At 41.3% G+C, this 25,602-nt stretch overlaps 1 protein-coding gene across 4 annotated transcripts in view, besides 3 other annotated features; it reads right to left on the bottom strand.

Moving 5' to 3' along the window:
* Positions 81-697: an enhancer, noted in NCBI's record as "H3K27ac hESC enhancer chr1:150610512-150611128 (GRCh37/hg19 assembly coordinates)". NCBI's record gives its function as "activates a minimal SCP1, AML or CMV promoter by ChIP-STARR-seq in primed H9 embryonic stem cells {active_cell/tissue: H9 hESC(primed)}" and the evidence as "EXISTENCE:reporter gene assay evidence [ECO:0000049][PMID:30033119]".
* Positions 3,162-3,777: an enhancer, noted in NCBI's record as "OCT4-NANOG-H3K27ac-H3K4me1 hESC enhancer chr1:150613593-150614208 (GRCh37/hg19 assembly coordinates)". NCBI's record gives its function as "activates a minimal SCP1, AML or CMV promoter by ChIP-STARR-seq in primed H9 embryonic stem cells {active_cell/tissue: H9 hESC(primed)}" and the evidence as "EXISTENCE:reporter gene assay evidence [ECO:0000049][PMID:30033119]".
* Positions 8,275-25,602, bottom strand: part of GOLPH3L (golgi phosphoprotein 3 like) — a 50,925-nt gene continuing 33,597 nt past the window's right edge. For 3 of the 4 annotated variants that reach the window (NM_018178.6, XM_047424285.1, XM_006711428.3), the window contains 2 exons: positions 23,859-23,973; positions 8,275-10,793 (listed from right to left, as the gene is read on the bottom strand). In NM_018178.6, coding sequence (NP_060648.2) covers positions 10,366-10,793; positions 23,859-23,973 — 543 coding nt within the window. In that variant the 3' untranslated portion in view covers positions 8,275-10,365. Of the gene's footprint in view, positions 10,794-11,176; positions 11,273-23,858; positions 23,974-25,602 lie in introns of those variants that run through there. The other variant, XM_047424286.1, reaches the window with a different exon arrangement.
* Positions 8,910-9,411: an enhancer, noted in NCBI's record as "H3K27ac hESC enhancer chr1:150619341-150619842 (GRCh37/hg19 assembly coordinates)". NCBI's record gives its function as "activates a minimal SCP1, AML or CMV promoter by ChIP-STARR-seq in primed H9 embryonic stem cells {active_cell/tissue: H9 hESC(primed)}" and the evidence as "EXISTENCE:reporter gene assay evidence [ECO:0000049][PMID:30033119]".

Raw genomic sequence — 25,602 nt, forward strand, 5'->3', positions numbered from 1 at the left:
GTACATAGATCCCCTGAAACCAACCAATGCAGCTCAGTTTCTATAAAATTAAAGCAAGGTCACAGGAATTAACAGTGGCTTTTATTTATCCAGACTTCTGCTCAGCACAATCATATGCTCATAAATATATGACTTGACAGTTCCAAAGACCTGCAGTATGGCTGGTTGGGGTATAAATTGGTACAACATACTTTGGAAAGCTGGTGGCAATATATACTAAAGCTGTACATAATCCAAAACCCATGACCTTGCAATCCCTCTCCTAGGTATATATACCCGATTGAAATGCATTCTTTGCGATGCGGGTAAAGAGGGGATGGTTAATGGGTACACAAAATATAGAAAGAAAAGTAAGATCTAGTATTTGCTATCACAACAGGGTGACTATAGTAAAAAATAATTGTTCATTAAAAAATAACTAAAAGAGAGGCCAGGTGCGGTGGCTCATGCCTGTAATCCCAACACTTTGGGAGGCCGAGATGGGTGGATTGCCTAAGGTCAGGAGTTCGAGACCAGCCTGACAAACACGGTGAAACCCTGTCTCTATTAAAAATACAAAAACTAGCCAGGCATGGTGGCAGGTGCCTGTAATCCTAGCTACTCGGGATGCTGAGTGTGGAGAATCGCTTGAACCTGGGAGGCAGAGGTTGCAGTAAGCCAAGGTTGCGTCATTGCACTCCAGCCTGAGCAACAAGAGTGAAACTCCATCTCAAACAAACAAGCAAACTAAGAGTATAATTGGATTGTTGGAAACATAAAGGATAGATGTTTGAGGTGATGAATACTGTATTTACTCTGATGTAATTATTACACATTGCATGCCTATATCAAACATCTCATGTAACCCATAAATATATACACCCACTATGTATCCACAAAAATTAAAAAAGAGCCCGGGCATGGTGGCTCACATCTGTAATCCCAGCACTTTGGGAGGCCAAGGCGGGCGGATCACCTGGGGTCGGGAGTTCGAGACCAGCCCGACCAACACGGAGAAACCCTGTCTCTACTAAAAAATACAAAATTAGCCGGGCGTGGTGGCGCATGCCTCTAATCCCAGCTACCCGGGAGGCTGAGGCAGGAGAATCACTGGAACCTGGGAGGCGGAGGTTGTGGTGAGCTGAGATCGTGCCATGGCACTCCAGCCTGGGCAATAAGAGCAAAACTCCGTCTCAAAAAAAAAAAAAAATTAAAAAAGAAATGCATTCTTATGTTATACCAAAACACATATTCATAGTAGTTCTATTTATAGTTGCCCCAAACTAGGTCAATCAAATCTTCAAAAAAAGTAAAATAGTTAATTCATGGTCACAAAACATACATATTTCATAATTTCATTTGTATAAACCTCAAAAGCAAAACCAATCTATGGTATTTCAAGTCAAGATTGTGGTTACCTTTAAGGGAGAAAATAGCAACTGGGAAAAGGTATGAGGGGGGATTCTAGGGTGCTGGTAACGATCTGTTTCTTGATTTGGGTGCTGGCTATATATGTTCACTATTCATTTTTTAAAAATAGACACAGAGTCTCACTATGTTGCCCAGGCTGGTCTTAAACTCTTGGCCTCAAGCAGTCCTCCCACCTCGGCCTCCCAAAGTGCTTGGATTACGGGAGTGAGCCACCATTCCCAGCTAGCCACCTCATTTAAAATAGTATTACTTGGCCGGGTGCAGTGGCTGACGCCTGTAATTCCAGCACTTTGGGAGGCCGAGGCGGGTTGGGATCAAGCCAGCCTGGCGAACATGGTGAAACCTCAACTCTCCTAAAATTACAAAATTAGTAATCGAGACCATTCTGGGTAACATGGTGAAATCCCATCTCTACTAAAAATACAAAAAATTAGCTGGGCATGGTGGCGGGCGCCTGTAGTCCCAGCTACTCGGGAGGCTGAGGCAGGAGAATGGCGTGAACCCAGGAGGCGGAGCTTGCAGTGAGCTGAGATGGCGCCACTGCACTCCAGCCTGGGTGACAGAGTGAGACTCCGTCTCAAAAACAAAAAACAAAAAACAAAACAAACAAACAAAAAACAAAAAAAATTAGGCTGGGCGCAGTGGCTCATGCCTGTAATCCCAGCACTTTGGGAGGCTGATGTGGGCGGATCACCTGAGGTCAGGAGTTCAAGACCAGCCTTACCAACATGGAGAAACCCCGTCTCTACTAAAAATACAAAAAAAATTAGCCAGGCATGGTGGCATATGCCTGTAATCCCAGCTGTCAGGCCTCTGAGCCCAAACCAAGCCATCGCATCCCCTGTGACTTGCACGTATACACCCAGATGGCCTGAAGTAACTGAAGATCCACAAAAGAAGTAAAAATAGCCTTAACTGATGACATTCCACCATTGATTTGTTCCTGTCCCACCCTAACTGATCAATGTACTTTGTAATCTCCCCCACCCTTAAGAAAGTTCTTTGTAATTCTCCCCACCCTTGAGAATGTACTTTGTGAGATCCACCCCTGCCCGCAAAACATTGCTCTCAACTTCACCGCCTATCCCAAAACCTATAAGAATTAATGATAATCCATCTCCCTTCGCTGACTCTCTTTTCGGCACCCAGGTGAAATAAATACCCATGTTGCTCACACAAAGCCTGTTTGGTGGCCTCTTCACACGGACGCACATGAAACCAGCTACTTGGGAGGCTGAGGCAGGAGAATTGCTTGAACCCGGGAGGCGGAGGTTGCGGTGACCCGAGATCACGCCATTGCACTCCTGCCTGGGCAACAAGAGCAAAATTCCGTCTCAGGGAAAAAAAAAAAATTAGCTGGGTGTGGTGGGGCAGGCCTGTAATCCCAGCTACTCAGGAGGCTGAGGCAGGAGAATCACTTGAACCTGGGAGGCGGAGGTTGCAGAGTCGAGATCATGCCATTGCCCTCCAGCCTGGGCGACTGAGTGAGACTCCATCTTAAAAAAAAAAAAAAAAAAAGTCTTTTATTACTTTTTGAGCATTTAAAGAGTATTTTTTGGCCAGACGGTGTGGCTCACGCCTGTAATCCCAGTATTTTGGGAGGCCCAGGCGGGTGGATCACTTGAAGCCTCCAGCCTGGCCAACATGGCAGGAGAATGACTGGAACCCGGGAGGTGGATGTTGCAGTGAGCCAAGATGGTGTCACTGCACTCCAGCCTGGGTGACAGAGAGAGACTCTGTCTCAAAGACAAAAAGAAAATTTGTTCAGTATTTTCTTCAATCAGCTTTCTCAGACTGAATGTTCACCCTTTTAAATATTCATAATGTTCCTGAGAATCCATTTGGCTATTCTGTTTTCTTCACCCTTCTCCAGCCTTCCCCTCCTCAATTCGACCCATTTCTTCCCTACTTCCCAAAAGAAAAAATATCTACTTTGGATTAATATAAATCAGTTTAATCTAACTTATTCAAGACTTTTTTGGCCTCTACTTGGAGGTTCAAGAAAAGGTGTGTCAGGCCTCTGAGCCCAAGCTAAGCCATCATATCCCCTGTGACCTGCACATACACATCCAGATGGCCGGTTCCTGCCTTAACTGATGACATTCCACCACAAAAGAAGTGAAAATGGCCTGTTCCTGCCTTAACTGATGACATTGTCTTGTGAAATTCCTTTTCCTGGCTCATCCTGTCTCAAAAAGCTCCCCTACTGAGCACCCTGTGACCCCCACTCTGTCCGCCAGAGAACAACACCCCTTTGACTGTAATTTTCCTTTATCTACCCAAATCCTATAAAACAGCCGCACCCTTATCTTCCTTCGCTGACTCTCTTTTTGGACTCAGCCCGCCTGCACCCAGGTGAAATAAACAGCCATGTTGCTCACACAAAGCCTGTTTGGTGGTCTCTTCACACGCACGAGCATGAAAGTGAGGTGATACAACGAGGGGGAAAAGAATTATTATTATTATTATTAAGGCTAACCTACAAATATTTTGAGGTATTTTATGGGTTTAAATATCCATAAATCTTTGAAGAAGTCTCACTTTCAGATAAGGAGGAAACATTTCAGTATCTCTGAAATACAAGAAAAACTTAGGATTAAAATTTTTCTCATTAAATCAGGAAAATGATGTACATTTATTGGACTGATTTTTTTCTTGTGGCAGAAACATGGATTCAGTCAAGAAGCCCTTCTGAAGGAGTAGAAGGCCCTAGATTCCCAGGTAAGCTTCTGAAGGAAATTCAGTTAAATCTACTATCATACTTTGGGAGGTTGAATTAGATTAAGAAAAACAAAGCGGTAGCCAGATTATTTATATTCTGGGAAAAAATTCTACACAAAAGAGCTCTTAGAGAATATTTAGTTTTTCCCCTCTGGTTCAATTTACTTTTTTACAATTTGGAATGCAAAGGAAAACTGACACGGTAAGTGAGCTGGGCTGCTAGAAAACGGAGATTTCTGCCAGGAAGTGACTCTCGCTTTGACTTGCATTCGATAAAATTTTACTGCTTTCTGGGAGAGATGGCTCCCTCAATTATCAATAAAAAGTCACTTTTCAGCTGAGCACGGTGGCTCATGCCTATAATCCTAGCACTTTGGGAGGCTGAGACAGGAGGATCCCTTGAGCCCAGGAGTTTGAGACCAGGCTGGGCAACACAGGGAGACCCCCCTGCCTCTACAAAACAACAAAAAAAGCATGTTTGGTTTGTCTCTTTCCAAATTACCTAGACAACTTGGAACTCAGCAGAAAAATAAGACAGACCAAGGCTTTGAGAATAATTGCAGACACAGAAACAAAGAGTACATACACACATGTAACAGATAATAGAAAAATATCAAAAAAGCAGTGTTACCTAACATTTCAGCATTAAAGTGATTATTTTTATTCTTTAGGGAGAGTAAAACACATTTTAAGAAACCATATGAATATACACTTATGGGCATTTTAGCTGTGTGGCAAAAAGGAAGAACAAATTTTATCTGTTAGAATCTAAATTAAATTTCAGTTTTGTTGTAATTTAATGTCAGAAAGCATGCATGCATACATGTAAGACAGTGGAATATATAAAGTGTTGAAAGACAAAAACAACCCACCAACCTAGAATTATTTCTGTTGTTGTTGTTGTAGAACTGGGGCTCTGGCTATGTTGCCCAGGCTGGTCATAAACTCCTGGCCTCAAGTGATCCTCCTGCCTCGGCCTCCCAAAGTGCTGGGATTACAGGTGAGCTATTGTACCCAGCCCAACATAGAATTCTATTTCCAGTTAAATTATCCTTCCAAAATGAAGGATAAATAAAGACTTTCTTAGACAAAAACTGAGGGAATTCACATCCAGCTGACTTGCTCTGTAAGAAATGTTATTGAGAGAGGGAAAATGATAAGTAGGAAACTCAGTTCTTCTTTTTTTTTTTTTAGTTTTGTTCTTTCACCCAGGCTGGAATTAAGTGGCACAATCTCGGCTCACTGCAACCTCTGCCCCCCAGGTTCAAGCCATTTTCCTGCCTCAGCCTCCCCAGTAGCTGGGATTATAGGTGACCGCCACCACACCCATCTAATTTTTGTATTTTTAGTAGAGATGGTGTTTCGCCAGGTTGGCCAGGCTGGTCTCGAACCCCTGACCTTAGGCAATCTGCCTGTTCGGGCTCCCAAAGTGCTAGGATTACAGGTGTGAGCCACTGTGCCTGGCTGGAAACTCAGTTCTATATAAAGAAAAGCAATGGGAAAGGAATAAGGAAAGGTAAACAAACAACAAAAACAATTTAGCTTGTCCTGGTGCATGTGCCTGTAATCCCAACTACTGGAGAGGCTGAGGCGGGAGGATCCCTTGAGGCCAGGAGTTTGAGGCATTATTGGGCTATGATAGCGCCTGTGAATAGCCACTGCACTCCAGCCTTGGCAACAAAGTGAGACCCCATCTCTAAAAAAAGAGCTGCCAGTTTCAAAATCCTTTGTTTAGTTTACAACTTGAATATATTCTCTTATTTTCTGGGCTGAGCGCAGTGGCTCATGCCTGTAATCCCAGCACTTTGGGAGGCTGAGGCGGGTGGATCACCTGAGGTCAGGAGTTTGAGACTAGTCTGGCCAACATGGTGAAACCCCATCTCTACTAAAAATATAAGAAATTAGCCAGGCGTGGTGGTGGGTGCCTGTAATCCCAGCTACTAAAGAGGCTGAGGCAGGAGAATCACTTGAACCTAGGAGGCGGAGGTTGCAGTGAGCTGAGATCCAGCCTGGGCAACAAGAGTGAAACTCCATCTCAAAAAAAAAATTTTTTTTTTCTGGAAATATGTGAAAACGACATGCATTCATGAAATTCTAGCACATCACCAATTATCTTGTACATATTATTTCCTCTGCATAGGGTAGCCTTGGCTCTTCCCTCTTAGCCTGAAAAGATCCTTTGAGACTTTTTAAACATTTTTTTAAAAATAGAGACAAGGTCTTGCTATGGCCCAGGCTGGTCTTGAATTCCTGGACTCCAGTGATCCTCCCACCTTGGCCTCCTAAAGTGCTGGGACTACAGGCATAAGCCACCGTGGCCCAGCCGATCCTTTGAGATTTAGTTCAAATGAAGGCAAGAAAGGGTAGTGATTAAAAAGTAGGTGTTTGAACTGAAGCTCTGCACTAGGTCCTCAGGCAAGCCTCATTACCTGAGTTTTCTTTTTTTTTTTTTTGAGACACAGTCTTGCTCTGTCACCCAGGCTGGAGTACAGTGACACGATCTTGACTCACTACAGCCTCCACCTCCCGGGTTCCAGCGATTCTCCTGCTTCAGCCTCCCGAGTAGCTGGGACTACAGGCATGTGCCACCATGCCGGGCTAATTTTTGTATTTTTAATAGAGATGGGATTTCACCATGTTGGCCAGGCTGGTCTCGAACTCTTGACCTCAGGTGATCCAGCCGCCTTGGCCTCCCAAAGTGCTGGGAATACAGGCATGAGCCACCACACCCAGCCACCGGAGTTTTCTTTAAAAGAACACTGTAGAGTTTTTTTTTTTTTTTAGTGTTGTAATAAATGAGACAAGATACAAAGCAGTTAGCATAGTACCTACCTCACAACAAAAGTGCTCAATATATGATAACCATAATAAATACAACACCTCAAAGTCTTCCCTAACATTCCCAGGGAGAATACTATTTATTTGTGCTTCCAAATATTATGTTTATACTTCTATTTGAGCATTTGTCACAAATTATATTATTTGCCCACATAAATGTGCATTCTTGGGAGCTAGAATGGTGCCCTATGCAATGTTTTATTGTCAGTGCCTAGCAAGTGCCCATCAATTTGTAAGTACTCAATATTTTTTTGATGAATGAATTATAGACAATAAGATATAGGGTGGCGTTCTCCAATTTTAACATGCAAGCTTTTAGAGTTTCTTTTTTTTTGAGACGGAGTCTCGCTCTATCGCCCAGGCTGGAGTGTAGAGGCGCAATCTTGGCTCACTGCAACCTCCGCCTCCCAGATTCAAGCAATTCTCCTGCCTCAGCCTCCTGAGTAGCTGGGATTACAGGAGTGCGCCACTATGGCCAGCTAATTTTGTATTTTTAGTAGAGATGGGGTTTCACCATGTTGGCCAGGCTGGTCTTGAACTCCTGACCTCAGATGATCCGCCCGCCTCGGCCTCCCAAAGTGCTGGGATTACAGGCATGAGCCATCGCGCCTGGCTGAGAATTTCTTTAAAATGCAGCTTCCTCCTAACTCCAGAGACTGATTTACTAGGATCTGCATTTTAGCAAGCTACCCTCCTATCTCACACACACATTTTGGTGCAATGGTCTTTGCAATATACTTTGAGAAACATTGTATAAAGCATGACTTATGGAAATAGTACTTTGTCTTAAATAAAAATATTAGAAAAGTATAAACAATCCTAATAAACAAATGTATTATTGTCCCTTGTGCTATAGATAAAGAAAGGGAGAACAATAAGCCAATTATAAGCACACTTACATTTTTACATGTTAACTCTGTTATAGTCAGGCATGTCACCTACATTTGGAACTTAAGATTTTCAACTCCTAAATTCAGGTGTCATTTGCAAGTAGATATTAGTAGAACAGATCATATTCATTCTCTTCATGGTAATAATGGTATAATTGGCTAATTTATTTTGATTGAGATGGAGACACTATTTAGGCTTTATAGTATTAGCTGGTGTTCATGTGGTCAGCTTTTGACATGTCCTGCCCCTCAGCCTATGTATGTTACAATTGTTTTTGTATCCCTCATTTTCTACATAGGATAAAACAAGCTGGTATGCTAGTGTAAAGGGGGAGGCATTAATAGCCTTGTGTAGAAAGTCCTTAGTTCCAATTAAAACAATTTAAATTATAAAATTGTGCACAGAGAGACCAGAGAGCTGATAATTGATCTTTATTATACAGAAATGTGAAGGCCATAAGCATTAAATGAGAAGGAGTTTGGCAGTGAACATTATGCAGATTCAAACTGAAGGTATCCTCGTCTTACTGAGATATAAAAATAAACACTAAGAGTTGCAAGAAAGAACTCAATTCAACTTCTATCTCCCAATCAAGCTATAACTTTCCACAGGAAAACCTGGTTTCAATTCATGCCGAATTGTTCAAAGAAAAGAAAAAGCTAAATCAGTTAGAGACAACACATGGACTGGCTTTTGTCCTATTAGAGAGCCAGACTGAAGCTGTATTCAGCCTCACATTTAGAGACTGTTTCCTATTACAATTTATATCTCTATTTGCCTAAGAGATACCTAAAGTGAAAAACAAAAAAATGTTAACTGAGCTGGGGCATTTTTGTGGGGCTAAGTAGATTTGGCAGAGGAGAGAAATGAATAAATAATTCATTTAATTATTTCTAATCAAGAGGATTTAATGTCAGGTCTGGGTCATCTGTATTAACCCTTTGACAGTTTGTTGTTCTATAATGGTCAAGAAGCACTATCCCATTAAAGTATAATAAATGCTGAACATCAGCACAGCTCAGTGCACATCCTCTTTATATCCTCAAATACTGGACTTTATATCAGCATGCTTTCAATACCAAATTAGCCCTTTAAATAGGATCTTTCTTAATAAAGCTTCTCATTGCCCTCACTACTGAAGTAAAAAACGTGTTAGAGATTTGGCCAGAAAGATGGTTTTACTGAAATAAGACTGATGACTAGGAGCACATCTATGGATTAAATATAGACAAAACTACTCCCAGAAACCTTAAATATAGACAGACTTTATTAATTTATGTAGGAAGCCAAAAATAGGAAATAAAAAGATCTGGAGTTCAGATATACTGATATATTCAGCAACTGAAACTTACAATTCCTTCAATTCAGTCAGAGCAGAGACATTTAAAGTAGTCTGGAGGGGTGGGTGCAGTGGCTCAAGCCAGTAATCTCAGCACTTTGGGAGGCTGAGGTGGAAGAATTGCTTGAGCCCAGGAATTCAAGACCAGCCTGGGCAACAAAGCGAGACTCTTGTCTAAAACAAACAAAAAAAAGCTGAGTATGGTGGCACGTGCCTGTAGTCCCACTTAGTTGGGAGACTGAGGCAGGAGGATCCTTGAGCCCTGGAGGTCAAGGCTGCAGTCAGCTGTGATTGCACTACTGTACTCCTGCCTGGGCAAGAGCAAGACCCTGTCTCAAAAGAAAAAAAAAAAAAAAGTGGCCTGGGGGAAACAGGACAGTCATATACCCCAAGAATGGAAATTTTCATGCCACCCCCCTTCCTTCCTTACAAATTCTAATGCTGATTGCATGAACGAGGTGTTGAGAGAGACTTTTCTTCATTTAGACATTTGCCCTAGTGAATGAGGGAGCAAGAGAATGCTAAGAGGGATGAGAGAATATATTTCTGGCTCTAGGACTTTGACATCCAGGTAATTGAATCTGGGACATTCTCATTAGGTTAGAAAAGGAAAGATGAGAAAATCACTAGCAGGATATGCAATTCCAGAGACCATCTGCTCCAAAAATTAGTTTTGTTTCTCATTGCTCCTTATTCAGCGACAGTTATTTCAATAAGCTACATTATTTAGCAGAGTCTGAGAGACAAAGGCTGTGAAAACATGTATTTATGATAGAAAACAAACTCAGAAAAATATAATAGATAGTTCACTTTTTATCTCATTCACATTCTATAGCTGGAGAACTCAAAATCCCATTTAGATATTTCTGCTTATCCAAAAGCACACTGGGTGAAACTAAACCACCAAATGGGAGAAAATGTTCATTGGGTGTGTGTGGCTTCACCCAGTTTATTTACCTATGGAGTGGAAGTGTAGGGAGAAATAAGGTCTGCTTATAATGGTCAAGGTCTATGGAGAAGCCCTGAAGTTGCTCTCCCCAAATCACAAGTCTGATTCAAGAAAAGGAAACAAAAATGATGAAAACATCTCATCACACAAAACTCAGTGATGGGGTCTCTGACAGTCACCAGCCAGCAGGGGAAAAGGAGAAATCCACCTGCCGGCTTTAAGATTTATTGAAGGCTGCCAGCACAGCCCAGATCATTTCTGTGGCACTAGGCTTTGTCCCTTCCACTTCAGGGTCCAGTTCTACTAAGTCCTTGGCTCGATTCATTGCCACATCATACTTGTCATCTGTCAGAGAGGAGAAGACATTCTCTAGCACATCAGAGGAGTGGGCTAGCACCAGGAGTGCTAGTGTTCGCTTGTCCATACGCTGAGGGTCATTTACCCACCGCTCTAGTACACTATCTTGAAGTTTTTTCACTAGTCGCTGTTTCTCTGTTGTATTGGTCACTGGATGAGTAGTCATGTCAAATAGCAGGAAATTCTGCTTCTCAGTGGTTAGAATACCTTTCTCTACTAGGTTCTTTGCGATGCGCTCTCGTACATTTCTCAGCTGGTACTGTAATTTGAAGGGGTTCCAGGTCTCACCTATGAGAAAAAAGAAATAGGACATAATGAACTGAAAGAGAAAAGCAAAATGAAACATGTAGTTGTTTGGAAACTTGAATGGCTAAAATGTTTAAAAGCATAATCTTCATTCCTCAATTCATTTAATCCTTAGTCCTTTATAATCTGGCTTTGACTCCAACCACATTTCACATTAAACCAGCTTCAAAAAATGTCACCAAGGACTTCCATATTGCTAGAGCTTATAGACTTTATTTCTGTTCTTATGTGACCTCTGTGACACTGTAATTATTTATGTATTTTTCAAATTCTATTTAGGACACCAGTCTCTCCCAGATGATTTCTACTCTATATTGTGGAAGTTCTATTTGCTGGTGAAGCTAAGAGGACTGAGGTTCCCTACCCTATTTGTAGAGCAGAAGCTCTATCCCAGGCCTGGTAGGCTGACAATATTTAGACTTCAATTGCTCCCATTCCAGCTTGTTCGTAGATTAGAGATTCTGCAACAGAAAAGGCAAGTCAAGAAGACCAGGGGCTAACACCTCTTTCCCCCAGCACCTACTCATACAGCAGGTGGGTATCACTGTAGGAGAAGTGGGCCCTTGTGCAGAAGTTCTGCCCAGGAGGGAAGGAAGGCCTGAAGAATGAAGAGCTCCAAAGCTCTGCCTGAGAGGACTGACTTTATTTGGAACACAGTGTGGAGAATTCTATGCCTAAGGGTGTTGAAAACCATAGAGATCTTGGTGGAGAGCAATTACAAGGTGCTGCTAGCTCTATGGCACTGGTATGACAAACCCAAATGGCAAAGCCTCCAGAAGTTTAACAGGCAGAACCAGAGAAACAGAAAGCCAAGAAAAGTCCTTCTGGAATCATGACCAACACTGGGGGTTGGGAAGACTGTGTGCTTGCACCAGGCTGCACCCACTCAGGAGCAATCAGAGCAGGACGTGGGGCTTGACTTGAGAGTATTCCCCAGACCACACATAGATCTATCAAAAAAGGGTGGATGCTTCACTGGCACCAAGGGCTAAAGCACAACCACTGAACCAACACTGGCTGAACAATAAGCTACCCTAACTCAGAGGCAACTCCTAGAAAGCTAAGCTTAAAAATAATAATAATAGCCGGGTGTGGTGGTACACGCCTGTAGTCCCAGCTACTTGGAGGCTTAGGCAGGAAAACCCAGGAGGCGGAGGTTTCAGTCAGCTGAGATTGTACCACTGCACTCCAGCCTGAGTGACAGAGTGAGACTTCATCTCAAGAAATGAAAAATAAAAAATAAAAATAAAATTAAAAAAATCACATACATCCCTGGTGTATGTCCAAGGATGTACTCTCTCCGAGAAGAAATCAGAGAGGGAACTTCCAAGCTGCTAGTTCCTCACTGAATGTGGGGCAAAATGTAAACTCCCTGATTTGTGATGGCTATGTCAAAATCACACACACATATCCAACAGTAAAGGATAAAAAAATTTAATTGGCTAAAAGGTCTTAAGCACAACCTTTGACTAATAAGTGGCTTCTACTGACCCACTGGCAACACACAGGGAGTTAGGCCAAAAGATAAAAACAAGAAAATATGAGCAGTGACATCAGAGGCTGCACACTACAAGAGAAACAGACTTCAGAGAGCTGCTGCAGGCAAGTCACTAAGGAAACAAATTACCAAGCAAACAACACAATCAACCTCTAGTGGGAAGGAGAAACCAGTATAGCAGGTGTCCCCAACCCCTGGACCATGGACTGGTACTGGTCTGCAGCCTGTTAGGAACCCGGCTGCACAGCAGGAGGTGAGCCATGGGTGAGTAAAGTTGAGCTCTGCCTCCCATCAGATCAGCAGTGGCATTAGGTTCCCACAGGAGTGTGAACCCTATTGTGAACTGCACATGGGAGGGATCTAGGTTGCATGTTCCTTGTGAGACTCTAATAAATGCAATGCACTTGAATCATACCGAAACCATCCCCCCGTCTCCCACCCCAGTGGAAAAACTGTCTTCCACGAAACCTGTCCTGGTGCCAGAAAAGTTGGGGACAGCTGCAGTGTAGTATCCAGAGTTGCACAATTATCTAAAATGTCCAGTTTTTGACAAAAAAGTATGAAGTATACAAAGAATAAATTGTGACCCATTGACCCATTCAGAAGAAAAAAAGCAGGCAATGGAAACTGCCTTTGAGAACGCTAAAATGTTGGACTTTACAAAGACTATAAAGCAGCTTTTATAAATATGTTCAAAGACCTAAGGGAAACCATGACTTATCATATAGAGAATATAAATAAAGACAGAAATTATAAAAAAGATCCATTTAGACCAGGTGCGGTGGCTCACGCCTGTAATCCCAGCATTTTGAGAGGCTGAGGTGGGTGGATCATTTGAGGCCAGGAGTTCAAGACAAGCCTGGCCAACATGGCGAAACGCCATCTCTACTAAAAATACAAAAATTAGCCAGGTATGGTGGGCACCTGTAATCCCAGCTGCTCAGGAGGCTGAGGCAGAGAATCGCTTGAACCTGGGAGGTGGAGGCTGCAATGAGCTGAGATAGTGCCACTGCACTCCAGCCTGGGCAACAAAGCAAGACTCCATCTCAAAAAAACAAAAACAAAAAAACCATTTAGAAATCCTAGAGTTTAAAAGTACAACAGACTGGGCATGGTGGCTCACGTCTGTAATCCCAGCACTTTGGGAGGCTGAGGCAGGCGGATTACTTGAAGCCAGGAGTTTGAGACCAGCCTGGCCAATATGGTGAAACCCTGTCTCTACTAAAAATACAAAATTAGCCGGGTATGGTGGTGTGTGCCTGTAGTTCCAGCTACTCAGGAGGCTGAGGCAGGAGAATCACTTGAACCCAGGAGGCGGAGGTTGCAATGAGCCAAGATCACACCATTACACTCCAGCCTCAGCGACAGAGCGAAACTCAAAAAAAAAAAAAAAAAAAAAAGTACAACAAACAAAATGAAAAAATCACTCAAGGGATCCAACAAGAGATCTGAGCTGGCAAAATAAAGAATTAGCAAACTTAGAGATCAAAGAAATTATGTAATATGAAGAACAAGGAGAAAAGAGAATGAAGAAAAATGAACAGACTCAGAGAAATATAAAGTATCATCAACTTGATGAACATACATAAAATGGAAGCACCAGAAGGAAAGGAGAGAAAGAGGCAGAAAAAATACTCAAGAAAGTAATGGCTAAAATCTTGCCAAACGTGATGAAAAACACTCAACCACACATTGGAGAAGTTCAACAAACTCCAAGTTGGATGAACACAAAGAGACCCATATCCAACATCATAGTAAAAATGTTGAAAACCAAAAATAAGTGGAAAATCATGAAAGCAGAAGAGAAAAATGACTTATCACATCACAGTGGAACTTTGTAAGCTTAATAACTGACTTCCCATTAGAAAAAATGCAGGCCAGAAGAATGAGTAGACTTATTCAAAGTGAGGGTAGAAACTATTAGCCAAGAATCTTATAACTGGCAAACTATCTTTCAGAAATAAAAGCAAAGCAGGTGTGGTGGCATGCACTTGTAGTCCCAGCTACTCAGGAGGCTGAGGCAGGAGAATCACTTGAACCCAGGAAGTGGAGGTTGCATTGAGCTGAGATCGTGCCACCGCACTCCAGACTGGGTGACAGAGTGAGACTCTGTCTCAAAAAAAAAAAAAAAAAAAAAAAAAAAACCCTAAAAAAAACAAAACAAAAATGAAGGCAAAGAAAAATTTCTAAAAAGGAGAAAAAATAAATACATTCCTAGATCTGAAAGAGTTCACTGCTAGCAGACCTGCTTATAAGAAATATTAATACTAAAACTAAAGGGAAGTTGTTAAGGCTGAGAGCAGGACACACTAGACAGTAATTTGAATCCACGTGAACAAACAGTAAAAGTAATTATGTAAGTAATAAAAAAGATGGTATAATTGGATACTTCATCTCAACTGATTTATAAAGCAATTGCACAAAACAATATTTATATAATTGTTATTGTTGAGTTATAATTTTTAACTTTTTAAACTTTTGCGCAAGGTTATAACACATAGAAATGTAATAATAGCACAAAGAAAGAGGGTGGGAAAAAAGTTGTGTTGAAGTAAGGAAAATGACAACAGATGGTAACTTGAATCCACAGGAAGAAATGAAGAAAACCAGAAATGGTAAATAAGGAGGTTAATATAACAAACTCTATAAGTATATATTTGTGCTTTCTTCTCTTCTTTAATAATTACAACAATGAATTGTTGAATTTGTAACACATAGAGATGTAATACGTGTAACAATATTGGCATGGTGGGCCCATGCCTGTAATCCCAGAACTTTGGGATGCCAAGGTGGGCAGATTGCTTGAGCCCAGCAGTTTAAGACCAGTCTGGGTAACATAGTGAAACTTTGTCTAAAAAAACAAAACAAAACAAAAAACAACAACAACAAAAAACCCAAAAGCCAAAAAAACAAAAAAAAAAAAAAAGAAAAGAAACATATAGCAATATTAACACAAAAAGAGGGAGAGGGAATAGAGTTATATAGAAGTAAAGTTTCCTTGGAATTAAACTTGGTATAAATCTTTTTTTTTTTATTTTTTTTTTTTTTTGAGACGGAGTCTCACACTGTCGCCCTGGCTGGAGTGCAATGGCATGATCTCAGCTCACTGCAACCGCTGCCTGCCGGGTTCAAGTGATTCTCCTGCCTCAGCCTCCTATGTTAGATTTACTGGAGAAAGACTTGAAAGCAACTTTTTTTTTTTTTTTTTTTTTTTGGAGACAGGGTCTTGCTTTGTTGCCAGGCTGGAATGGAGTGGTGTGATCTTGGCTCACTGCAGCCACCACCTCCCCAGCCCAACTGATCCTCCCATCTCAGCCTCCTGAGTAGCTGGGACTATAGGCATGTACCACCATGTTCAGCTAATTTTATGTTTTGTAGAGATGAGGTCTCACTGTTGACCAGGCTAGTCTCAAATTCCTGGACTCAAGTGATCTTCCCACCTGAGTGTCCCAAAGTACTGGGATTACAGGTGTGAGCCACCACACCCACTACAACTATCTTTTGTTTTTTTTTTTGAGATGGAGTTTCACTCTTGTCACCCAGGCTGGAGTGCAGCGGCACAATCTTGTCTCACTGCAACCTCCACCTCCCAGGTTCAGGTGATTCTCCTGCCTCAGCCTCCCAAGTAGCTGGGATTACAGGTGCCCACCACCACGCCCAGCTAATTTTTGTATTTTCAGTACAGACGGGGTTTCACCATGTTGGCCAGGCTGGTGTTGAACTCCTGACCTCCAGTGATCCACCTGCCTTGGCCTTCCAAAGTGCTGGGATTACAGGTGTGAGCCACCGCACCCAGCCACAACTGTCTTAAAGATGCTCAAATATTTAAAAAAATGGATAAAGACAGGAAAATAATGTAGAAGCAAAATGATAATATCAATAAAGAGATAGAGAAAGGGACCAAAAGGAAATTCTGGAGCTAAAACTTATAATAACTGAAATAAAAAAATATACTAGGGGGGCTGGGCATGGTGGCTCATTCCTGTAATCCCAGCACTTTGGGAGGCCAAGGTGGGTGAGTCACTTGAGGTCAGGAGTTCAAGACCAGCCTGGCCAGTATAGGGAAACCCTATCTCTACTGAAAATACAAAAATTAGCTAGTGTGGTGGTGGGAGCCTGTAATCCCTGCTACTCGGGAGGCTGAGGCAGGGAGAAGTGCTTGAACCTAGGAGGCAGAGGTTGCAGCGAGCCAAGATTGTGCCACTGCACTCCAGCCTGGGAGGCAGAGCAAGACATTCCGTTTAAAAAAAAAAAACAAAAAAACAAAAAACGAAAAACAAATTTGAAGAAGCAGAAGAAATAATCAGCAAGCAGTTCCCTGTTAGGATACACCCTCCAGATCAACAGGGAAATATTATGGCTACATTTGAGCCTTTTCCTTTTAAATTTGGGAAACGCCATGAGGGGCCCGTCTGGGCCTGTTCCAAACCGGGGCATTTCCAGCTTAGGCCATTCCCTCATCCCTGTACAATATCTGTCCCCCGCCATAGCAGGTAGTGCCGCAGTAGATTTATGCTGCACAAAAGCTGTGAGCCTTCTGCCTGGGGAACTCCCGCAAAAGGTCCCAACAGGAGTCTGTGGACCCTTGCCAGCGGGAACGATAAGATTACTTCTAGGAGATCTAGTTTAAGTTTAAAAGGAGTACAAATACATACAGGAGTCCTTGATTCAGATTACAGTGGGGAAATTCAAATTGTTATATCTACTTCTGTTCCCTGGAAAGCAGAGCCAGGAGAGCGTATAGCACAGCTCCTGATTGTACCGTATGTGGAAATGGGGAAAAGTGAAATTAAATGAACAGGAGGATTTGGAAGCACAAATAAACAAGGCAAAGCTGCTTATTGGATGAATCAAATTACTGATAAATGTCCTACCTGTGAAATAACTATTCAGGGAAAGAAATTTAAAGGTTTGGTAGCTATAGGAGCAGACATTTCAATCATTTCTCTACAGCACTGGCCGTCTGCGTGGCCAATTCAACCCGCCCAATTTAACATAGTTGGAGTTGGTAAGGACCCTGAAGTGTATCAAAGTAGTTACATTTTCCATTGTGAAGGGCCCAATGGACAACCTGGGACTATTCAACCAGTTATAACTTATGTACCTATAAATTTATGGAGAAGAGATTTATTACAACAATGGGGAGCACAAGTTCTAATTCCAGAGCAATTATATAGCCCTCAAAATCAACATATGATGCATGAAATGGGGCATGTCCCTGGTATGGGACTAGGAAAAAATTTGCAAGGTTTGAAGGAACCACTTCAAGTGGAAAGACAAAGTTCCTGCCAAGGTTTAGGATATCATTTTTGATGGCAGCCATTGTTAAGCCTCCAGAGCCTATACCTTTAAAATGGTTAACAGATAAGCCAATTTGGATAGAACGATGGCCACTAAGTAAAGAGAAACTAGAGGCTTTAAAGGACTTCGTTAATGAACAATTAGAAAACGGACACAGCTCCAACATTTTCCTCTTGGAATTCTCCAGTTTTCGCAATTAAGAAAAAATCAGGTAAATGGAGAATGTTAACAGATCTTAGAGCCATCAATTCAGTTATACAACCTATGGGAGCATTACAGCCAGGACGGCCTTCTCCTACTACAATTCTAAAAATTCGCCTTTAATAGTTATAGATTTAAAAGACTGTTTCTTTATTATCCCCTTAGCTGAGCAAGACTGTGAATGGTTTGCATTTACAATTCCTGCAGTAAACAACCTGCAGCCTGCTAAGCGTTTTCACTGGAAAGTGTTGCCACAAGGCATGTTAAACAGTCCAACAATTTGCCAGACTTATGTAGGGCAAACAATTGAACCTACTCGTAAAAAATTTTCACAGTGTTACATTATTCACTATATGGATGATGTATTTGTGCTGCCCCCACTCAAGAAATATTACTCCAATGTTATGATCACTTGCAAAATTCGATTTCTCGTGCTGGTTTAATTACAGCTCCTGACAAAATTCAGACTACTACACCTTACTCCTACTTGGGGACCTTAGTAAATGACACTACCATTGTGCCACAAGAAGTAGCCATACATAGGGATCAATTGAAAACATTAAATGACTTTCAAAAATTACTAGGGGACATTAATTGGATACGACCTGCTCTAGGCATCCCTACCTATGCCATGAGCAATCTATTTTCTATCCTTAGAGGAGATCCTAGTCTCACTAGCCCTCGGCAATTAACAAAAGAAGCTGAGGCAGAGCTGCAGCAAATCGAAAAGCAAGTCCATAAAGCTAAAACAAATAGAATAGATCCAGAGAAGACTCTAGATTTGCTAATTTTTCCAACTCAGCATTCACCTACTGGTGTTATTGTCCAAGAGCAGGACTTAGTAGAATGGCTTTTTCTTTCACATACTAATTCACAGACTCTAACTCCTTATTTGGATCAAATCGCTACCATGATAGGAAATGGGAGAACTCGGATTGTTAAACTATAGGATATGATCCTGAAAAAATTATTGTCCCTCTCACGAAGGCACAAATACAGCAGGCTTTTATAAATAATCTTACTTGGCAAACCCACTTAGCTAACTTTGTGGGTATTCTCGATAATCATTTTCCTAAAATGAAACTGTTTCAATTTTTGAAATTAACTAATTGGATTCTCCCTAGAATAACTAAATTTAAACCAATTGAAGGTGCTGAGAATGTTTTTACAGATGGGTCTGGTAATGGTAAAGCTTCTTATTCTGGCTCTAAAGGTAAAGTTTTCCAGACGCCCTATACTTCACCTCAAAAAGCAGAGCTTGTAGCTGTAACTGAGGTACTGACTGCTTTTAATATGCCTATTTATGTGATTTCTGATTCTTCATATGTGGTTCATTCCACACAGTTAATTGAAAATGCTCAGTTACGATTTCATACAGATGAACAACTGATGACTTTATTTACCCAGTTAGAAACAGCAGTTAGGAGTAGAATGCACCCTTTTTACATCACTCACATTAGGGCTCATAAACCTCTTCCCGGACATTTAACTGAAGGGAATCAAATGGCTGATTGCCTAGCTGCTAATGCAATATCTAATGCTAAACACTTTCGCAATTTAACCCATGTTAATGCCTCTGGTCTCAAAAGCAGATACAGCATTACCTGGAAAGAAGCTAAAGCTATTATCTAGCGATGCCCAACTTGTCAAATGGTATATTCCTCATCTTTTACAGGAGGAGTTAATCCTTGAGGACTGGAACCTAATTCTCTTTGGCAAATGGATGTCACACATGTTCCCTCATTTGGGAGACTAGCTTATGTACACGTATGTGTGGACACCTTTTCTCACTTTGTCTGGGCTACATGCCAAATCAGGAGAGTCTTCTGCCTGTGTTAAACGTCACCTTTTGCAGTGTTTGTGGTGATGAGCATTCCAGCTTCTATTAAAACAGATAATGCCCCAGGCTATACTAGCCAAGCTCTAGCTACATTTTTCTCTATATGGAATATTAAACACAATACTGGTATCCCATATAATTCTCAAGGACAAGCCACAGTGGAAAGAATGAATCTCTCCCTAAAAGAGCAGTTGCAAAAACAAAACATGGGGGAAACAGGGATTACAGGACACCCCATATACAACTGAATCTAGCATCATTAACTTTAAATTTTTTGAGCCTGCCTAAAGGCCAGATGTTAGCAGCAGCTGAACAGCATCTAACCAGCTGCAAAGACAGAAGCAAAACAACTGGTTTGGTGGAGAGATCCGGTAGCAAAAAGTTGGGAAATAGGTAAAATAATAACTTGGGGTAGAGGTTATGCTTGTGTTTCTCCAGGACCGAATCAACAGCTGATTTGGATACCATCAAGACATCTGAAACCTTATCATGAGCCAGATGCCGAGGAAGAGATTCCGGGAGGATCCCGAGGACCCCCCGGTTGCAGCCATGTCGAGACTGATGCTGAGGAGGACCCCAACTGTCATTAGCAACACCCGTTGAACACAGCCACCCACCTGAGGGCAGATCAAGAAGCTGTCACAGATGGAGGAAGAAAACCTGAGGAAATCGGGACAACCAGTCGCAATGAGTAATTTAATGGTAGCTATGATAGTGGTGATCACCATTGCTGTGCGTATTCCTTCAACAAGGGCTGACACAGAGAACAATTATACTCATTGGGCATATTTATCAATCTTGGCTGGCAATAATGCCTGGATGTAATCACTCTATGATGCAGTTACACATGCTTTCTGACCTCAGTATTTACCATAATAAATCTGCTCCTATAGTTGAGGCATACCACCCTCAGAAACCTATGTGTAAACAAAATTGAACCTGGCCAGAGAAAATGAACGTACTTGTTTAGGAAGATTGCATTGCAGAACAGGAAGAGGTGCTGCGCAATGATTCTTATGGAATCATTACTGATTGGTCCCATAAGGGGATGTTTAGCTTGAATTGCACCTCTCAGTTTGCGTGTCATGGCCACACTATGTTCAGCTGGTTTGAACAAAATGGTCAGATGGTAGAAATGGTAAGAAGTATGACAAGAGTTCCTATTATCTGGAAACATGGTGGTAGAGTGGCACCTCAATCTCAAATGATATGGCCCGCTGTAGGAGCTAAACATAAGGATTTGTGGAAACTATTAATGGCTCTTAATAAGATCCAAATTTGGGAAAGAATAAAAAACCATCTAAAAGGACACTCTACAAACTTGTCTTTGGATATTGCAAAATTAAAAGAACAAATATTTAAAGCATCCCAGGCACACCTGACCTTAATGCCAGGAACTGGAGTGCTTGAAGGAGCTGCAGACAGATTAACAGCTAGTAACCCATTAAAATGGATAAAAACACTTGGAAGCCCTTTGATTTCAATGATAATTGTGTTATTAATCTGTGTTGTTTGTCTCTGTATAGTCTGCAGGTGTGGATCCTGACTTCTGTGAGAAGTAGCTCACCTTGACAAAGCTGCCTTTGCTTTTATTGCTTTGTAAAACAAAGAAGGGGGACGTGTTGGGAATAGGCCTCAAAAATCTGGCCATAAACTGGCCCCAAAACTGGCCATAAACAAAATCTCTGCAGCACTGTGACATGCTTGTGATGGCCTTGATGCCCATGCTGGAAGGTTGTGGGTTTACTGGAATGAGGGCAAGGAACACCTGGCCCACCCAGGGCGGAAAACTGCTTAAGGTGTTCTTAAACCACAAACAATAGCATGAGAGATCCGTGCCTTAAGGACATGTTCATGCTGCAGATAACTAGCCAGAGCCCGTCCCTTTATTTCGGCCCATCCCTTTATTTCCCATAAGGAATACTTTTAGTAAACCTTATGATTGGCTTGCTGTCAATAAATATGTGGGTAAATCTCTGTTCAAGGCTCTCAGCTCTGAAGGCTGTGAGACCCCTGATTTCCCACTCCACACTATATTTCTGTGTGTGTGTGTCTTTAATTCCTCTAGCGCCACTGGGTTAGGGTCTCCACAACTGAGCTGGTCTCGGCAAGATTAATATCCAGAATATATATAAAGAACCTCTGGCCAGGCACAGTGGCTCATGCCTGTAATCCCAGCATTTTGGGAGACCAAGATGGGTAGACTGTCTGAGCTCAGGAGTTCAGAGACCAGCCTGGGTGACATAGCAAAACCCCATCTCCACCAAAAACACAAAAAATTAGCCAGGTGTGATGGTGCGCACCCATAGTCCCAGTTACTTGGGAGGCTGAGGTGGGAGGATCCTTGAGCCCGGGAGATAGAGGTTGCAGTGAGCCGAGATTGCACCACGGCACTCCATCCTGGGTGACAGAGTGAGACCGCATCTCATAAATAAATACAAAAAAACCTCAACAACAACAAAACAATCAAACTTAAAAATGGGAAAAGTATTTTATATTTCTCCAAAGAAGATATATAAATGGTCAGTAAGCACATAAAAATATGCTCAATATTTTTAGTCATTAGGAATGACATGAAAACTATTTTCATTTGAAAATAAAAATCAAAACCACAATGAGATAACATTTTAGGCCTACTCGGATGTCTATAATTAAAAAAAAGAAAAGAAAGAGAAGAACAAGTGGTGATCAGCATGTGGACAAATTGGAACCCTGGTGCATACTGGTGGGAATATAAAATGGTGCAGTCTCTGTGGAAATGTTTGGTGATTTCTCAAAAGGTTAAACATAAAACTGCTATATGACCCAGCAATTCTATTCCTAGGTATATATCCAAAAGAATTAAAAACAGGAACTTGAACAGATATTTGTGTATCAATGTTCACAGCAGCATTATTCACAATAGCCAAAAGGTGGAAACAAGGCAAGTGTCCATCAACAGATGAATGGTTAAACGAAAGTGTTATATACATACAACGGAATATCACTCAGCCATAAACAGGAATGAAATTTTGATATATGCTGTGACATGAATGGACCTTGAAAACATTATGCTTGGTGAATAAGCTAGGGAAAGTAATGACAGATATTGTATGATTCTACTTATATGAGGTACCTAGAGTAAGCAAATTCATAGAAAAAGAAAGTAGAATAGAGGTTGCCAGGGACTGGGGGGAGAGAGAAAGAGGAAGTTATCATTTAATAGGTACAGAGTTTTAATGGGTAATGATGAGGAAGCTTTGGGTATAGTATAGATAGAGGTGACGGTTACAAAATATTGCAAATATATTTAATTTCACAGAATTGTACACTTAAGAATGGCTAAAATAATAATAAATGTTGGCTGGGCGCGGTGGCTCACGCCTGTAATCCCAGCACTTTGGGAGGCCAAGGCGGGCAGATCACGAAGTCAAGAGTTCGAGACAAGCCTGGCCAATATGGTGAAACCCTGTCTCTACTAAGAATACAAAAATTAGCCAGGCGTGGTGGCACGTGCCTGTAATCCCAGCTACTTGGGAGGCTGAGGCAGGAGAATTGCTTGAACCCGGGAGGCAGAGGTTGCAGTGAGCTGAGATTGCATCACTGTACTCCAGCCTGGACGACAGAGCAAGACTCCATCTCGAAATAATAATAATAATAATAAATGTTATGTATATTTTACCACAGTAAGAATGTTACTCGTTGATTTACATATGACCCAGTTATCTACTCCTAGCTACATACCCACAAGAAATGAAAACATGTTCAAACAAAAACTTGTCCGTGCGTGTTCACAGCAGCATTATTCACAATACCCAAAATGTGGAAATAACTCAAAGATTCATCAACTGATGACTGGATAAACAAATGTGGTATGGCCATGCAATAAAATATTATTTGGCAAATTAAAACTGGGAAATTCTAATAAGAATAATAGACTGCATCAATGCCAATATTCTCATTGTCCTCTCAATAAAGATGTTTTAAAAGTTTCTTGTGAAGAATACTATTTAAGGGCTTTTGGGGTGGGGTGGCAGAAGATAAGGTGAAGCTTTGGAAAACTTTAGGTATCAATTAACCATGCTTTTTCTGTCCCTCATTAGAATTAAATAGTGAACCACATCTATCTCATCCAGCACGATGAATTTCGGTACATCTTTTACTAAATTTCAGGGTAGGATAAAGATAACAAAGTGTGAAATTCATATATTATTTTAAGTCATCTTACCAGTGAGTAGCTCTATCCATGTTTGGACAGTTTCTGTGGGTTCAGTTGCTTTGATGTGTTTCAGAGTTTCATCCAGTAAAACATCACCTGTTGGGCTGTCTGACTTTAGCAGTACCTTTGAGAAAAGGAGAAAGAAGGAACCCTGATTCCTTCACTTCATTCAAGTTAAAATCTTTCAATATATCATGTATATGTTACTGGTTAAAAATTGCAAGAATGTAAGGAAGCATAATATACTGTCTCTGTCCTCAAGAAGTTTAAAATATAGTATGGAGTGATAGTGCAAAGACAAAAATAACATTTGAAGTGGGCCCTAGTGACAAACTGGATATGAATGATAATGGAGAAAAGTTTCAATAACAACTCATTTTGAGTCTGGAAACCAACTTTTGAAACCATTAATAAAGGTAGGAAACAGCTGGGCTCAGTGGCTCATGCCTGTAATCTTAGCACTTTGGGAGGCTGAGGCGGGTGGATCACCTGAGCTCAGGAGTTTGAGACCAGCCTGGGCAAAATGGCAAAATCTTTTCTCTATTAAAAAAATAAAAATTTAAATAAATAAATAAATAAATAAACAAAGGCAGGAAAGTCAGAAAAGGAAGTCAGTTTTGGGGAAAGGTTGATAATTTGGTTTTCTTTCATTTTTGTTAAGTTTGGTTTTAAATGATATGGGATAGCCAAGTTGAAATTTCTAGCCAATAGTTAAATATGTTTCTGGAGGTGGAAAAACAAGACCTGCCTAGAAATTTGAAAATTAATCTCATGAAGGTGACAGACGAAGCTATAAAGGTAAATGATATCTCTGAAAGGACAGAAGATCACTCAAGTGATACAAACTGAGACTTGGATGTTAAGAAATGGAGAAGTAAGGAAACAGTGTATAGTCAGAGAAGCAAGAGAATAAGATAATAACAAAGGCCAATAATGAAGAAAGTTTCAAAGTGATAAAAAGTGTCAAATGACACATATAGGTTAAAAGAGAAAAATAAATCAAAGACTGAAAAGAAGCTGGTGATACCTAAGAATGTAGTTTAAGTGGAGTGCTTAGGATGATAAAGAAGTTGTGAGTGGAAAAATTCAGTAAGAAAATGGATACAGGAGTATGGTTGGAAAGGACTTGCAGTAAATGGAAGGAAACAGAATATTATTGGAGAATAACCAGGGTTAATCAATGACTGACCTGACCCATATGAGTCCCTCTCCCTACATCATACTCTATTTCGTAATTTTTTTTTTTTAGAGACGGAGTCTTGCACTGTCCCCCAGGCTGGAGTGCAGTGGCGGGATCTTGGCTCACTGCAAGCTCCACCTTCCGGGTTCACGCCATTCTCCTGCTTCAGCCTCCCGAGTAGCTGTGACTACAGGCGCCCGCCACAATGCCCCGCTAATTTTTTTTTTAAATATTTCTCGTAGAGATGGGATTTCACCGTGTTAGCCAGGATGGTCTCAATCGCCTGACCTCATGATCCGCCCGCCTCGGCCTCTCAAAGTGCTGGGATTACAAGCGTGAGCCACTGTGCCCGGCTATTTCATAATGTTATAGCTATAGATATAGGAGGAATTTAATCAACAGCATCCTGAGTATGATTTTTCTGCATAAAAAAGGAAGACAAAACCAGGAGCTTCCTATAACTCTTTGGACTATGGATACTTTGATTTCTCCCTCTTGCAATAGGGTAATTAACCTGTTTAGACAATGGAACTGCTGAGTCAGTGATATTTATTTTATCTTACTACTCAAATC

Source organism: Homo sapiens, chromosome 1 (genome assembly GCF_000001405.40).
Source record: "Homo sapiens chromosome 1, GRCh38.p14 Primary Assembly".
Lineage (NCBI taxonomy): Eukaryota > Metazoa > Chordata > Mammalia > Primates > Hominidae > Homo > Homo sapiens.